Consider the following 14,324-nt stretch of genomic DNA (forward strand, 5'->3'; position numbering starts at 1 on the left):
GAAAATTCATAAACTGCATGCTTATTACCGACATACATTTTTATATTAATGCTACACTTCAATAAGAAGTTTAAAAAGCAGAGGTCCATCTGATGGGAGAAACAAAACTTCAAAACATCTTCAAAATACTATGATGGTATTCCTTCATTACCTCATATAAACCATGATAAAATTAAAGGAAATCGCTACACACAGTACATCTACATGGATAAACACACACAAAAAATTAGGGTGACTGGTGAACAAAGTGAAAAGTTGAAATCCTTTCAACAAATCCCCATGGCACATTTTTAATAATTATCTTTGGGAATAAATAATACAGAACATATTTATATTCCAAGAGTATGAAACATCATTGCTTCCTTTCCATATAGTGCCCCTCCTCAATGGTTTCTACTATTTCTAAATTCCAAAGTGTATTTTAAATGATTTCAGGAATTGATGTATTACACAAAGCAAGCTAGGATTGTACAATAGATTTCCAAAGCCCAGTACAAAGTTTTCTGTGAAGAATTCTTCATAGCCAAATTCTCCACATACTTTAAAAAAATATGCCACTAAAACAGCTCCAAATATTTCTGTTGATTAACTCAAGCTCCCTGTAAACACTTTCTATATTCTTTTTTTTTTTTTTTTTAGACAGGGTCTTGCTCCGTTGCCCAGGCTGTAGTACAGTGGCACAATCACAGCTCATTGCAGCCTTGACCTCTGGGGCTCAAGCAATCTTTCCACCTCAGCGACATGAATAGCTGGGAGAACAGGCATGTGCCACCACACCCAGCTAATTTTTGTGTTTTTTGTAGAGATGGGGTTTTGTCATGTTGCCCAGGCTGGTCTCAAACTCCTGGGCTTAAGCAGTCCATCTGCCTCAGCCTCCCAAAGTGCTGGGATTACAGACATGAGCCATTGCGCCCAGGGACCTATTCCTTATTATAAAATAAAAAGCAGTTTTAGCAACCAGGCAGAAAAGTTTATGTAGTTGTAGTACCCACTGCTCAACACATTGGTCTAAATTATAAGAACATCATAGTTTTACTGACTACAGGTGTAGTACATGAGTCTAGTTCTTAAAAATGTTATACATAAATGTATTTGGGAAAAAGTAAAAAATCGCACTAATCCTAGATATAATCAGTATAAAAGACAATTTACTTAATAGTCTTCCATATTCTCTTTTTCCTTTATGGTTCTTTTTCTCTCTTATACCCTAGCATAATGGTTAAGAGTTTGGGCTCTCTCAGGTCAGTCAATTTCAATACAAGTGGCACTTTACAGTTGTGTGTTTCTGGGTAACATGCATTCCTTCAACCTCTTTGAGATTCCTCATTATACATGTTTTCCTTACTTGTAAAATGGGGATAACAAGAGTTGTCACACCATACAGGCTTTTAAAGATGAAAATATAAAATGCATATCACGTGCAGGGCCTGGCAAGGGTAAGAGACAATAAGTGTTCATTAATTATTAAACAGCACATAAATTTTTAGATTAGCCTAGTGTTTATATGTGTGTATGCAAATTCTGCCAGGTTTTGGTATCAGTGTTATGTCAGTTTTGTAAAACTGAATTAGGAAACTCTCTCTGAACCGAAACTGTTTAAATTAGTTCATTAAATTTTTAAGACAGGGTCTCTGTCAGTGAGACTCCAGGCTAGAGTGCAGTGGCACAATCATGGCTCACTGTAGCCTCTACCTCCTAGGCTTGAGATCCTCCCACTTCCGCTTCCCAAGCAGCTGAGATCAGAGGTACAGGCTGCCACATCATGCTAATTTTTAAATTTTTTGTAGAGATAGAGTCTTACTATGTTGCCCGGGCTGGTAAAGTTGAAAATCACTCACTCACGAAACTATCTGGGCCTACAGGTTTTGTGCATGTGGGGATTGTTCCCTGGCAATTTCCTCAGTTTCTTTCATTGTTACTGGCACATTTTCAAAGAAAAAAAAATCTACATTATTACCATTCCAAAAACTTAAAATATTTCAATGCATTAGCTCAAATGATATAGCAAATCCTTATACTGTTCTGCATTATCCCATCATCCCTTAAAATATAAACAAACAAATCAAGTGTCGTCAAGATTAATGAGGAAATTAACGAACAGCTAAAAGACAAATTATCCTCTAGTTGATACTCTAAAAGAGTGTTACTAAATCAGAACTGGAATCTAGACTTATTTAGTAATTCAGCTAGGTTACTTTGAACAGTAATTACTCTGGATGCCTTTGTAAGCTTGCCCTACAAATCTATCACAGGTGAAAGATTCTAATACAGGTCTCCTAGTCACTTAGTAATAAATTCAAGATAACATTATACTATAGAAAACGGGAAAAATACGATCTCTATCATACAGTGACTTGTAAGAATCCAAGTGTATACAGAAAAGACTGTAAACTACAAAGAGCTGTACAAGATGTTAGGCAGTGTTATCTTTACATTGTATTCAAGACTAAGGCAAGTAATGTTTTCTTGGCATGGAGGTTAACATGCAAAGATGCTGCTTTGGATGTTAATCTTCGTGCCAAGTATGTTTGGATGTTAACCTCCGTGCCAAGAAAACATACTTGTCTCTATTAGCCTCCTTACACTTCCCAATGGCGTTTGTTCTCTAATATCCTCATTTTTATGGATTATGTACCTGCTATAAATGTCACATAGATAAACATGTGGTTTAATTAAGGGGAAAAAAGGATTCAAGTGTCTGGTCAATGTACTTTCAACTAAAAAAACTCACTACAGCGCTGTGTAAAAAGTGTTCTCTAGTCTCTGTCTTTGGGAGTCTTTCAATATAATAAACTATAAAATAGAATACAGTGGTACCCCTAATGTAGTGATGACGGAAGCAGCTACTATGTTAAGGACGTCATATGGCTTTATCCACTCAATCCCCACAACACTAGGCTATATATTATTGACACATACTAGTCACCCAGCCAGAAAAAGCTGAAATCTGAACCCAAGCAATCTGACTCTAGAGTCCACAAGTTTAACCACTACCAGTACAGGATCCTATAGATAAACTACTTAGAATTTATTACTAAGTCATAATGAAAGTCTCATTTCAATTAACGCTTGGATAAAAAATGTATATTATATATAGATTGATAGTTATCTTCTAAATGATCACTGTATTAGACCTACAGCTGAAACAAGTTTGTTTTCTTTTTCTTTTTTTTTGAGACAGGGTCTTACTCTGTCACCCAGGCTACAGTGCAGTGGCAAGATCACAACTCACTGCAGCCCCCACCTCCCAGGCTCAAGTGATCTTCCCAACTCAGCCTCCTGAGTAGATGGGACCACAGGCAGGCACCACAACACCCAGCTATTTTTTTAATAGAAACGGGGTCTCCCTATGTTGCCCAGGCTAGTCTCAAACTCCTGGGCTCAAGCGATCTTTCTGCCTTGGCTTCCCAGAGTGTTGTGATTGCAGGCATGCGCCACTGCGTCTGGCCAGTATTTGAGTGTTTCTGAAAAAATCCTGGCTTCTCTCTTGCACAGCACCATCAAAAACATAAAGGTCTAAGTAAAATGGTCTTTTCTCCAGAATTCCCCAAGATAATGTTTGAAATTCCATTGCAAATCCTTGTGGAGTTATTTTTTAACAAAGTCTAATCCTAGTGTAACTGTGTCATGACAATTGGCTTTCTTTAGTCTTTGCCTAGATTCTTCTTTTTGTAGCCAGGATAAATTACAATTTGGCCATACATCTCAAAAAGTAAGAGTCAATGAGAATGATCTGTTTTCTTATTGGAATGTCCACATTAAAAGCTTAATAGTATTGGTGGGTTGTGTATGTGTGGGTATATGTAAACAGAATCAGTTATGAGGTAAACAAACAGGTAGTTTTTTTTTGGGGGGGGGTATAGTAAATTTTAACCAGATGTAAATGTTTACTTTACTTACAAACTAAGTAGATTAATAAATATCAGAGTAGTCACTACCAGACAGGTAAGTGTTTTAAACATGCAGATTCCATATAACTCAAAGAATTTTAAAAAATCATAAAGGGCAATTTCTGCTATGAAAAGATGGACTTTGACAAGAATCTTATACAATATGTACACAGCAAAGAATAAAATGAGGTAAGGCATCCTTGAATACAGGCAGTTTAGCTACAATAGAGTCTCTCCCAGAATGGAAAATTCATACTACCTGCTCATAGGTATGGGAGAAATTAGTGGTACTCCAAAAAAACTGAACAACGCCAGGGCAAACTATGTCGAAACAAATGTTAAAGGAAAATGCTCCCTTACGGCATAAGTCCACCAGATTTTTAAAATCCTGAGTCACAAGTTTATTGGCTTATTCTAGAATCAAGACAGCCATTCTGGATTATCAAAGGAAAAATGTGACAACAGAACAAAACAAAACGATCTGAATGAATTTGTATAACTGGTATGCAAGTCACAAAAATCACTTTCATCACCTCACTTACCCAGTTGGATAATAGAGATTATCCAGTGTAAGACAAGAGCTATTAAAGCTTTTTCTTGATTTATCTCAGGTCATTAATATGAGGACTGTTCCATGTACCATGCTATAGGTAAATGCATTGCATAAGCATTTAATGCTCATAACCTTGGGAGGTAATTCTGTTATTTTTGTGAAAGAAATAAAGCTCAATGATATGTAAAAACTTGTCTAAAGTTACACAGCTAGAGCCAGGCTCCCAAATTGATGTTTTTTTAATGCCATATCACACAGACTCTTGATTGACAAACATCAGTTTTCATGATTAAATGTTATGTCAAAGTTGTGGGCAGTGGACTGAACACACACTAATCAATCACTGTTTAAAAAATCATCTCCCACCTAAGTCTTTAAATAATACATTATTTCCGAATGTGTGTGTTGAGGTAGGAAAGGGGAGGGAGGAGATTACAGATAGCTGGGCTTCCCAGTAGCTCCTTTCCAACAGAACAATGGAATTTTGTTCTAAAAGTTCTTGTTTTTATTTTGCATATGCCACAAAATAAAGTAGAATAGGGCAAATGCAGAAATCATGTAAAACCATAAAATATAATAAATCATTAAACTGTCACCTAAAAGATCACCTTTTAGGAGGGAAGCTTCTTTCCTAACTTTAATCTTCGCATCATCCTGCTGATAAGTTTCCTGGTCTCGTATCTTCAGTACTTTCAACATCACATTTAGTGGGAACAGGTTAAATGGGTCAGCTTACAAATGTTTTACCAGTCAAAATATTATAATGTAGCATTTCTAACAACAATTCCTTGGCAATTTTCCAAAAGAAGAATTGCTCTAATATTGAGAATTTTGGTTACTATTTCTAAAACACACACAAACAATTATTTTCATCAGTACTCTCTAAATATGTTGAAAATGACCCTCTTTTTTAAAAAAGGCCAGTTACACTAACTGTTTATATAACTGCCTATCTTTTATGTGCTATGTGTTCACTGAAATGGAAAGGAGACAAAAATTTTCAAGATCACATAGCAAAACTAAGACACATCAAAGGTGTCAAATGTTAGGGGAAATTTTTTTAAGTTATTTTTAGAAGCAACAGAGGTGCTAATTTCCTTTTTTTTTTTTTACCCAGGAAGGCTATTCTAGGTGATTGAGTATTTTCTGGGAGAAGACGTTGCCAACTCTATTTCTGACAAGAAACTGACCAACACAAACCTCATTTTAAAAAGTGTTCTTTGAAAATGTGTACAGAATGGATAAATAAAATGTGGTATATCCATATGATACAATATTATTCAGTAATAAAAAGAATGGAGTAATGATACATGGCACAACACAGATGAACCTTGATAACAGGATGCCAAAGTAAAAGAAGCCAGTCGCAAGACAGCACATATTCTATGATTCCATTTACTATAACTGAATTGTCCAGAATAGGCAAACATACAGAGACAGAAAGTAGATTAGTAGTTCCCAGGAGCTAGGAAGAGTGGGGAAGAATAGGTCATGACTGCTAACAGGTACAGATTTCCCTTTGGGGTGATAAACATGTCCTAAAATTGATTATGGAGACAGACATACAATTCTGTATAAACTTAAAACCATTGATTTGTACACTTTAAGTAGATGGATTATATGGTATGTGAATTACATTGCAATAAAGCTGTTTTTTTTAAAAGGTACATATACAGGTATGCCAGGCATAAGAACCATCTACCTGTAATTATACTAATTAGCTAAAATTAGTAACACTTTTTTGCCAAAATCATAAATGCAGGATATAATAATTCTTCCATATTTTAAACTACTTTTCACCACTTACATGTTGCAGTGGCTAGTATTATTCAATTAGTGGTTAAAGGCACAGGCTGGGTTACAATTCCTAGCTTTATCACTTAGTAGCTATGAAATTACAGGCAAGTTGCTTCCCTTCGCTGAGCCTCACTTGACTCTTTTGTAGTGAGAATTAGGAGCACCTACTTCTTAGGATTGTTGTAAGAATTAAATAGGATAATCCCTATAAAGCACAGTGCATGGGGCAAGATGCTCACTAAACACTAGCTACTAAAATTCACCACTGAAAGTTTCTGAAGCCCATCTAGTCCATGTTCTACCCTATACAATGATCTCATCTTATTCATTTTCAGGACGTTATCCCTGGGCCTCTGTGGGATGGCTAGGGGGCAGTTAAAGGAAGATTTTGCAAAAAAGAGTAATAAGTTCCTACTCTCCACACTGACTCCTCTTTCATAACAACTATCAGCCTCCTTGCTGCCAAGAATGGGCAAAGAGATAAGCCAAATGTTAGACCACAGGCAGGGTTGTTCCTTCACTTAACCTGAAGAGGGCCTCAGCCTTTATGCAAAGTCAGATCTCCCCCAGAAGGCAATCAGGCTTGTAGCTGGGGACTCTAAGACATAACTCCTTTGATAAAGACTTTTCCAAGTGTACCAAAAATAAACAAGCAACCTCTGTATATTAGTTTCACAAATGGCCAAGCTTTTAATGGATTTCTTAAGTTTGATATGACAAGATTTAAAAAGAAGGCAACCAAAGCAGATAGAACCTGGAATTTTAAGGTAAATAACAGAGGATCCACTAAGTCCACGTACAGATCAGTAGCAACACTCCAGCTTCCTGCCCTTCTCATCACTGGCGCTGAATAAGTTACACATTAAACACTATCAACTCATTCCTTCTACCTTACTTTATGAGGTACACCTAATCTCTGACCTAACAGAATCTTGCCATTCCAGTTGAAAAATGGCAGGTTGGTGTGACTTATCCTCTTACATACAGGAAATAGCATATAAGGAAAAAGGAAAGTTCTATATGAATGTTAGTTTCTCTGATTTTTTTTTTGAAAAACAATTTTAATATACAACAGAGTAGAGGGAAAAACAAAAGCATCCACATGCCTACAACCAGATTTAATAAATGTGAACAACTGTCATTTAACACATTTTATTTATTTACAATTTCAATGACAATCTTTAAAAGTTATTTGAAGTGTTTTCCACTAAATGTACAACAGATCAGTTCCAAATACTTCAGAAAAAAGATTCCATGAGCATCTGTTTCTGGTCTTAGAACTGTAGTGACATGGCTACATTGTCCCTGCACCAAATGAGAATGTGGACAATAGGTCCTGGGAAAATGTATTCTGTGGTCAAGACAGCTGTGGGCAAGGTATCACCCTCTCATTATTCAGAGATGCTCTGATATGATAAGAACCATAACTGAACACTTATATATCCCAGATCATCTAGCAACAGGTAAGTTTTACCTATTTTATAGAAGAGATCACTTATTCAACAGATTTTAAAAAGAAAAAAAATCTTTAAGAGGACTCAGTGATATTAAAGGCTTTGGTAATATTAAGGGGAAAAAAGACAATGTCTTACTTCAAATAATTTAACACATTTGAAAAAATTAGTAATGTGTATATGAAAATTTAAGATGGCAAACGTGAGACTGATAATAAGCAACATAGAAATAACAGAATAAAGTTGTTAATTCTTGAAGGAATTATTTTAGGATGAGTTCCTGGAAAAAGTATGCTTTGTTCTAAAATCTTGAAAGATTATTAGACTTAAATATGCAACAGGTATGAATGTTGGAGATCATTTCTGAGCAAACAGTGGGGAAGCAGGAAAGCATTCTGGAAAATTACATAGTGTGAAACAGGCACACTGTGAAAAGTTTCTAACCATAAATTAAGATGTTTGGACTGATAATGAAGTCAAGAGAATCTGTTAAAAGTTTTGGTACACTCTACTGCTCTAGAACACCTCCTCTTCTTCATCTGTCAGATAAACTAGATCCTCCTTTGAGATCCAGTTCAACTTCCATGGTGAAGCATTCCCAAAGTTGCAGTGCAGTCAATGGCTCCATTCTCAGTATCCACAGCACTTTGCATTTATCTGTGTTACATTGAATAGTGTTTCCCAAACACTGCATGAAAAAATCACTGGGCAGCTTGTATAAAAGACAGCAAGGCACTGTTATTCTTTTTGTTTTGTTTTGTTTTAGACGGAGTTTCACTCTTGTTGCCCAGGCTGGAGTGCAATGGTGCGATCTCAGCTCACTGCAACCTCCACCTACCGGGTTCAAGCAATTCTCTTGCCTCAGCCTCCTGAATAGCTGGGATTACAGGCATGCACCATCACGCCTGCTAATTTTGTATTTTTAGTAGAGATGGGGTTTCTCCATGTTGGTCAGGCTGGTCTCGAACTCCTGCTCTCATGTGATATACACCACCCGCTTTGGCCTCCCAAAGTGCTGGGATTACAGGCATGAGCCACTGCACCCGGCACTGTTACTCTTTAACCTCCAGGAATTAGCAGTCGGAGGAAGCCAATTTACACCCTAGAGAGGAAAGTGCTAAGACTACCTTCTTATATTGTGATGAGATTCTATAAAAATTTGTTGTTCCACATGTTCATTTTTTCCATGTCACCAAACTTCTCTCTAGTGACTTAAGTCTATTAAACACAAATATGATTTGCCAGAAATTCTACTTTTAAAACCAATGACTGAAAAAAAAATACAGTGTTTTTTTCATATAATATATCAAAATTATAAAAAGCATTAAACTATGCCGGCTGTTCTTCATTAAATTAACTCCTGGAACATTTAAGTAAATAGGTTTCCTTCTCTTTAGAAACTTGTATCCATAGACTTCTGCTTGCTTCTTCTTCTCATACATTCACCATGCTAACACGCTTGTTAAGATCAAACCAAAGCACCATTGCATAAAGGGATATTGCATTCAATACTGATGGGGTTGCTCTCCCATAGAAGTGCTTCATTCTCAGCTACAAATATTCCCAGTTTAGAACAGACAGCAACAACAGAGTTTTAAATTGTCAGCATCAACAGCATTGATATTTCCTTTCCAACACCCCCGCCATGACCCCTGCCATCTCCACTCAAGAGTGCCAAGCAATTCTGGAAAATATGAACTGAATAAGGGAAGATGATCAAAATGCTGGCAACCCTATTAATAGTGTCAGTTTCTTTAGACTAATATATATTTATAACCTAGACCATAACTGAAAACAAAAAATATATTCTAATCTGGTGCCTTCAGTGATTTTATAAACAGCCAAAACAGAATACATTATTTTAAAAGTCATAAATACTTTTTAACTTTAAAAAGTTAAAAATCCCAACAGGGTTTTCATGTAGCTTAACAAGCTAACTCTAAAATTCATTCAAAATCCTATTCCAATTTGGGGGGAGGAGGATATCCTATCGGATATCAAATCTATAAAATGATTCTAATGAAAACAATGTGATACTGGCACAATATAAAAACAGTTCAACGAAGGAGAATACACTAGGAAGTTCAAAACTGAAGCCTGTACACATGGTAATTTAGTATTAACAAAGGTGGCAGTTTAAGTGTGAAAAACATAAAACATTCAATAAATGGTGAAGGGCTAACACCACTATTTGTGGGAGTGGGGGAAGAATCTTCAAATCATGAATACCTCACATCATACAAAAATAAACTGCAGATGGACTGAGGAGCCAAACATATGAAAGATACTAGAAGAAAATGTAGGCCGGGGGCGGTGGCTCATGCCTGAAATCCCAGCACTTTGGGAGGCCGAGGCAGGCAGATCCCGAGGTCAAGAGATGGAGACCATCCTGGGCAACATGGTGAAAGCCTGTCTTTACTAAAAATACAAAAATTAGCTGGGCGTGGTGGTGCGTGTCTGTAGTCCCAGCTACTTGGGAAGCTGAGGCAGAAGAATTGCTTGAACCTGGGAGGTGGAGGTTGCAGTGAGTCAAGATCACACCACGGCACTCCAGCCTGGGTGACGAGGCAAGACTCAGTCTCAAAAAAAAAACAAAAAAGAAAAGAAAATGTAAAGAGAGTATATACTAATTTTAGGAGTGACAGGAGTGAAGAGAATAAAGCTTTCCTAAGCAGAAGGCAAGAAAAGCCCCCAAAACTAATATTATTAATTTGTAATATTGACATATTTTATTAAAAACATTTAAAATTTCTATAGCGCACAAGATATCACATTGTTAAAAGACAACACTAGACTGGGAGAAAATGTCAATGATTCTAATGTAGTGACCATAATACTTAAAAAATTCCCACTGGGCAAAAGGATATATTAATAAGTAAATCAAAGAAAACTCTAATTGAAAATAAATAAAATTTACAAATAAACCACTTCACCACTAGTAGTCAAGGAAATACAAATTAAAATAGTAAAATGTCATTTCCACCCTAAAGACTGGCCAAAAAAAAAAAAAGGACTTCTGTTGATAATGGTTTGGGAAATACACTATTAGTAGTAGTAGAAATTAATACAGCTCCTCTTACCCCCCGCAACTTTTATTTTAGATTCAGGGGGTACATGTGCAGGTTTGTTACATGAGTATATTGCTTGTTACATAGGTGAGGCTGAGATTTGAGGTATGATTGATCCTATCACCCAGGCAGTGGGCACAGCACCCAATAGTTAGTTTTTCAACCCTTGCCTGCTTCCTTCCTTCCCCCATCTAGTAGTCCCTCTTTATGTCCACGTAACACAGACTTGTCCATCTTTATGTCCACGTAACACAGCCTTTTAAAAGAATATTTGTATTTATATTTTTAGTAAGCTCAGTAATTCTGTTTTTAATAACCCTACAGATATAATCACATAAGTGTACAAAGATACACTACACACACACACACATAATGACAAAATTATAGTGCTCCGTAAATATTAGCTATGAGCCAGACATAGTTCTAAAAGCTTTAGAAACATCAACTCATTTAATTCTCACAGCAATCCTATAACTTAGGTTCTATTATTTTCATCCCCATTTTGCAGATGAGGAAACCAAGGAACAGAAAGGTTGAGTAACTTGCCCAAAGTCACAGAGATAATAAGCAGCGGAGCCAAGATTCAACCCAGGCATTTCAACTTCAGTACCTGAGCTCTTAACCACCGCTACTACTAGGTAGATCTACTGCCTTCCAAACAAGGATGTTCACTGCAATATTGTACATCATAGCAAAATGCTGGTAACAGCCATGTCAGGAACTGTAAAATAAATAATGGGCTGCTCATGATGTAAAATATAAATGATGTAGAATCAACATACACACAAATATTTATAATAAAGTGGAAACAAATGAGACACAAAAAAGATTTAGCATAACTTCATTTGTGTCTTAAAAGCAACCTCTGTATGCAGTTTTGTATATATGTATGTTCATTTGTTCAGACATTTTTCTAAAAAAATTACACACAAAATATTAATACTTAATACTAGTTTCTTCTGGGAAGGAAAACAAGATTAGGACTAAGGGTGAAGAGAGATTTTTCACTAGTTATTTTATGTATCTTTTTATTAGGTGACTTCTTTTATTAATACAAATGGCACGTTATTGCTTTTCCATTAAAAACAAATTAACCTAATAAGCAAACAGGGAGGTAGAGCCCCAGGTTAGGTAAGATGCTAATATCACCAACAGCACTGGATCTACCCTCCTGCAAAGCAGTTACATTTGCTATGCTGATGGCCACAGACTGAAGACGCCAAAACTCACCAAGAGTTGTAAACATTTTGATGCTGATTATAACACAGTAAGATTGTCACACATTATTGCAAGAATATATAAAACATCATTAGTGAGAATCAAACTGGCTGAGTTCAAATTGTGGCTCTACTATTTACTGGCTGTATGATTCCAGGAAAGTGACTTAACCTCTTGATATCTCAATTTCCTCATTATAAAATGGGGATCAGTATTTACCTTACATGGTTAATACTTATAAAATCCTTATAACACCTGCACAAAATATAGATTCATTTTGTTAGACAAAAACAAATAACTTAAGAAAATACATATATGTACATGCTGATGTTAAGCTAACAGTACCATCTCCCTTTCCAAAAACATAAATAACCTCTGCAAAACAAACTAAGTATATCATACATAGTAAGTGTATAAGTGTTGTTTTGCAAAACTCTTTTTAGGCTATGTAGACACATGTATGAATATGGTACCATAATGTAAAATTCACTTCTCTCATGTTCCAAAGAGTGTCAAATCCACTATAACTAGAGCATATTAGTGAGTGGCTTAGGGCTTTGTCCTCTGCTGCTACATCCTGAGATCAAACCTCACCACATCAAGCCTAGCATCTATATACAGCATCTTTCATTTAAGAGGGCTGCATAGTAAACACACTGTTTCAAACCTTAATATACACACAAACATCCTGTCTTAAACCAAATTCAAAACACCTTTCTTCCTAAAATATATTTTGTATTGTCTCTAGATTAAATCCATATCACTATTAATATATTTTTAATCAAGACTAAGCAATTCTCTCCCTGAACCTGTTATCCTCCCTAGTCAAAGCTCATCCTGCTGTTAAGGCAACTTAATCCAAATCCTCACCTTTTGTAGGTTTATTTATAAACTTTTTGTTCTGTCACTTCAATGGACAACACAGCTAAAAAAATTTTAATTTTATAAAAATCATTAAATTCACTCTGCCAAAAGTAAGAATTTTATTATTTGTAGTAACTATGTTTCCAGAATAAAGGCATTACATATTATAATTGGCCTATTAAAATTAGGTGTTGAGCATTAGGCTTATTTCAGTGATAAATCAACTTTAGGTTGGTTCTCAAAATATTTTTCCTAGTACCCTGTCTGAGTCTCTCCAACACGTACACTATTTCTCCCATATCATGTCTTACATTCCCTATATAACTTGTTTAAAATGAAGTTAATTGTAAAGTCCCAAGAAACTCTAGCCTCGTTCCAGTTCTTTTGTGTGTGTGTGTGTTGTGGGGAGGGGGGAAGGAGACTAAAATTAATCTTAGATCCTTTACTCAGTATCTCCTAGATCTTTTTTATGTACTGAAAACAGTAATTTGCACATCTTATATAAATTCACTGAAAGCCGATTTAGAAATTCTTCAGTTCAATCCCCTCATTCTGCAGATGATGAAATCTAGATCTAGAGAAGTTAAGTAACTTCCTCAGAGTCACATGCTTTGGACTGAAATGATGTATGATTATGGGACCGCTAACGTTGTCTCATCTACTTGAAGAAGTAGCCCATGATTACAAACATTAATTAACCACATACATTAAAAGGCAGTATATTCTCTAGAACTTTTCAAAGTACTTAAAAATAATTACTTAAGGCATTTAGTGTTAAGTCTCATTTTACAAAAAAACAAGCTGAATCCCAAAGGTATTACTTCCTTGTTACCATATCAAAGCTAAGGATAAGACTTATTCTTCATGAATTAACTGGTGCTTAAAACATAGTATAATATTTCCTCCAAATATTTCATCTATAAATTTTTACTTTCAATAAAGTTTCTCTCATTGTCTTTTAAAGGAAATAATTTTCTGATATGAATAGAAAAATCATAATAAAGTCATTAAAATGAAATTTTCTCTGAATCTCATACCTGTCGTTCATCCTCCATGACGTTACTAGCAAATTCAAATACTAGGTCGTTCTGTTGGACAACAGCAGCCATAATAAAGCATTCCCCTTAGATCCACATGAGAAAAATTCCAAGAAGATTCACGTATCAGGCAGCAAAATCCAGTGACTGATTTGGGTAAAAAACCCTCAGCTCTGTCTGTGGAGTAATTGTATACCCAAGTTTTCTTTAGGGAAGGTGCTTCAGTTTTCCTGGTTCATTGATATTCTAGTCAAATTGAGACAATTTTTCTGAAATTTTTCTTCTCTCAAGCTTCTTGGCCTAAAAAACAAAAGCTCAGATTAGTTATGAAAAAGCAATCACCCACTTAGGATATAATAACTGATACAGAGGGCAGTATCGCTAAAGCATTTTTTTATTATTAACGTTTTTAAATAAAATCGACACGACTAATGCACATACGC

At 35.7% G+C, this 14,324-nt stretch overlaps 1 protein-coding gene across 13 annotated transcripts in view, besides 2 other annotated features; it reads right to left on the minus strand.

The window, feature by feature from the left end:
• ELF1 (E74 like ETS transcription factor 1) overlaps window positions 1-14,324 on the minus strand; it is a 129,468-nt gene that overhangs the window by 36,183 nt on the left and 78,961 nt on the right. For all 13 annotated transcript variants that reach the window (NM_001145353.1, NM_001370330.1, NM_001370329.1 and 10 more), the window contains one exon: window positions 13,882-14,181. In NM_001145353.1, coding sequence (NP_001138825.1) covers window positions 13,882-13,953 — 72 coding nt within the window. In that variant the 5' untranslated portion in view covers window positions 13,954-14,181. Of the gene's footprint in view, window positions 1-13,881; window positions 14,182-14,324 lie in introns of those variants that run through there.
• Window positions 6,875-7,024: an enhancer, noted in NCBI's record as "active region_7619". NCBI's record gives its function as "activates an Ori minimal core promoter by ATAC-STARR-seq in GM12878 lymphoblastoid cells {active_cell/tissue: GM12878}" and the evidence as "EXISTENCE:reporter gene assay evidence [ECO:0000049][PMID:35858748]".
• Window positions 10,024-10,215: a silencer, noted in NCBI's record as "fragment chr13:41552261-41552452 (GRCh37/hg19 assembly coordinates)". NCBI's record gives its function as "represses an EF-1alpha promoter that drives an FKBP-Casp9 reporter gene in an ReSE screen in K562 erythroleukemia cells {active_cell/tissue: K562}" and the evidence as "EXISTENCE:reporter gene assay evidence [ECO:0000049][PMID:32094911]".

This window comes from Homo sapiens, chromosome 13, assembly GCF_000001405.40.
Source record: "Homo sapiens chromosome 13, GRCh38.p14 Primary Assembly".
NCBI classification, from domain to species: Eukaryota; Metazoa; Chordata; class Mammalia; order Primates; family Hominidae; genus Homo; species Homo sapiens.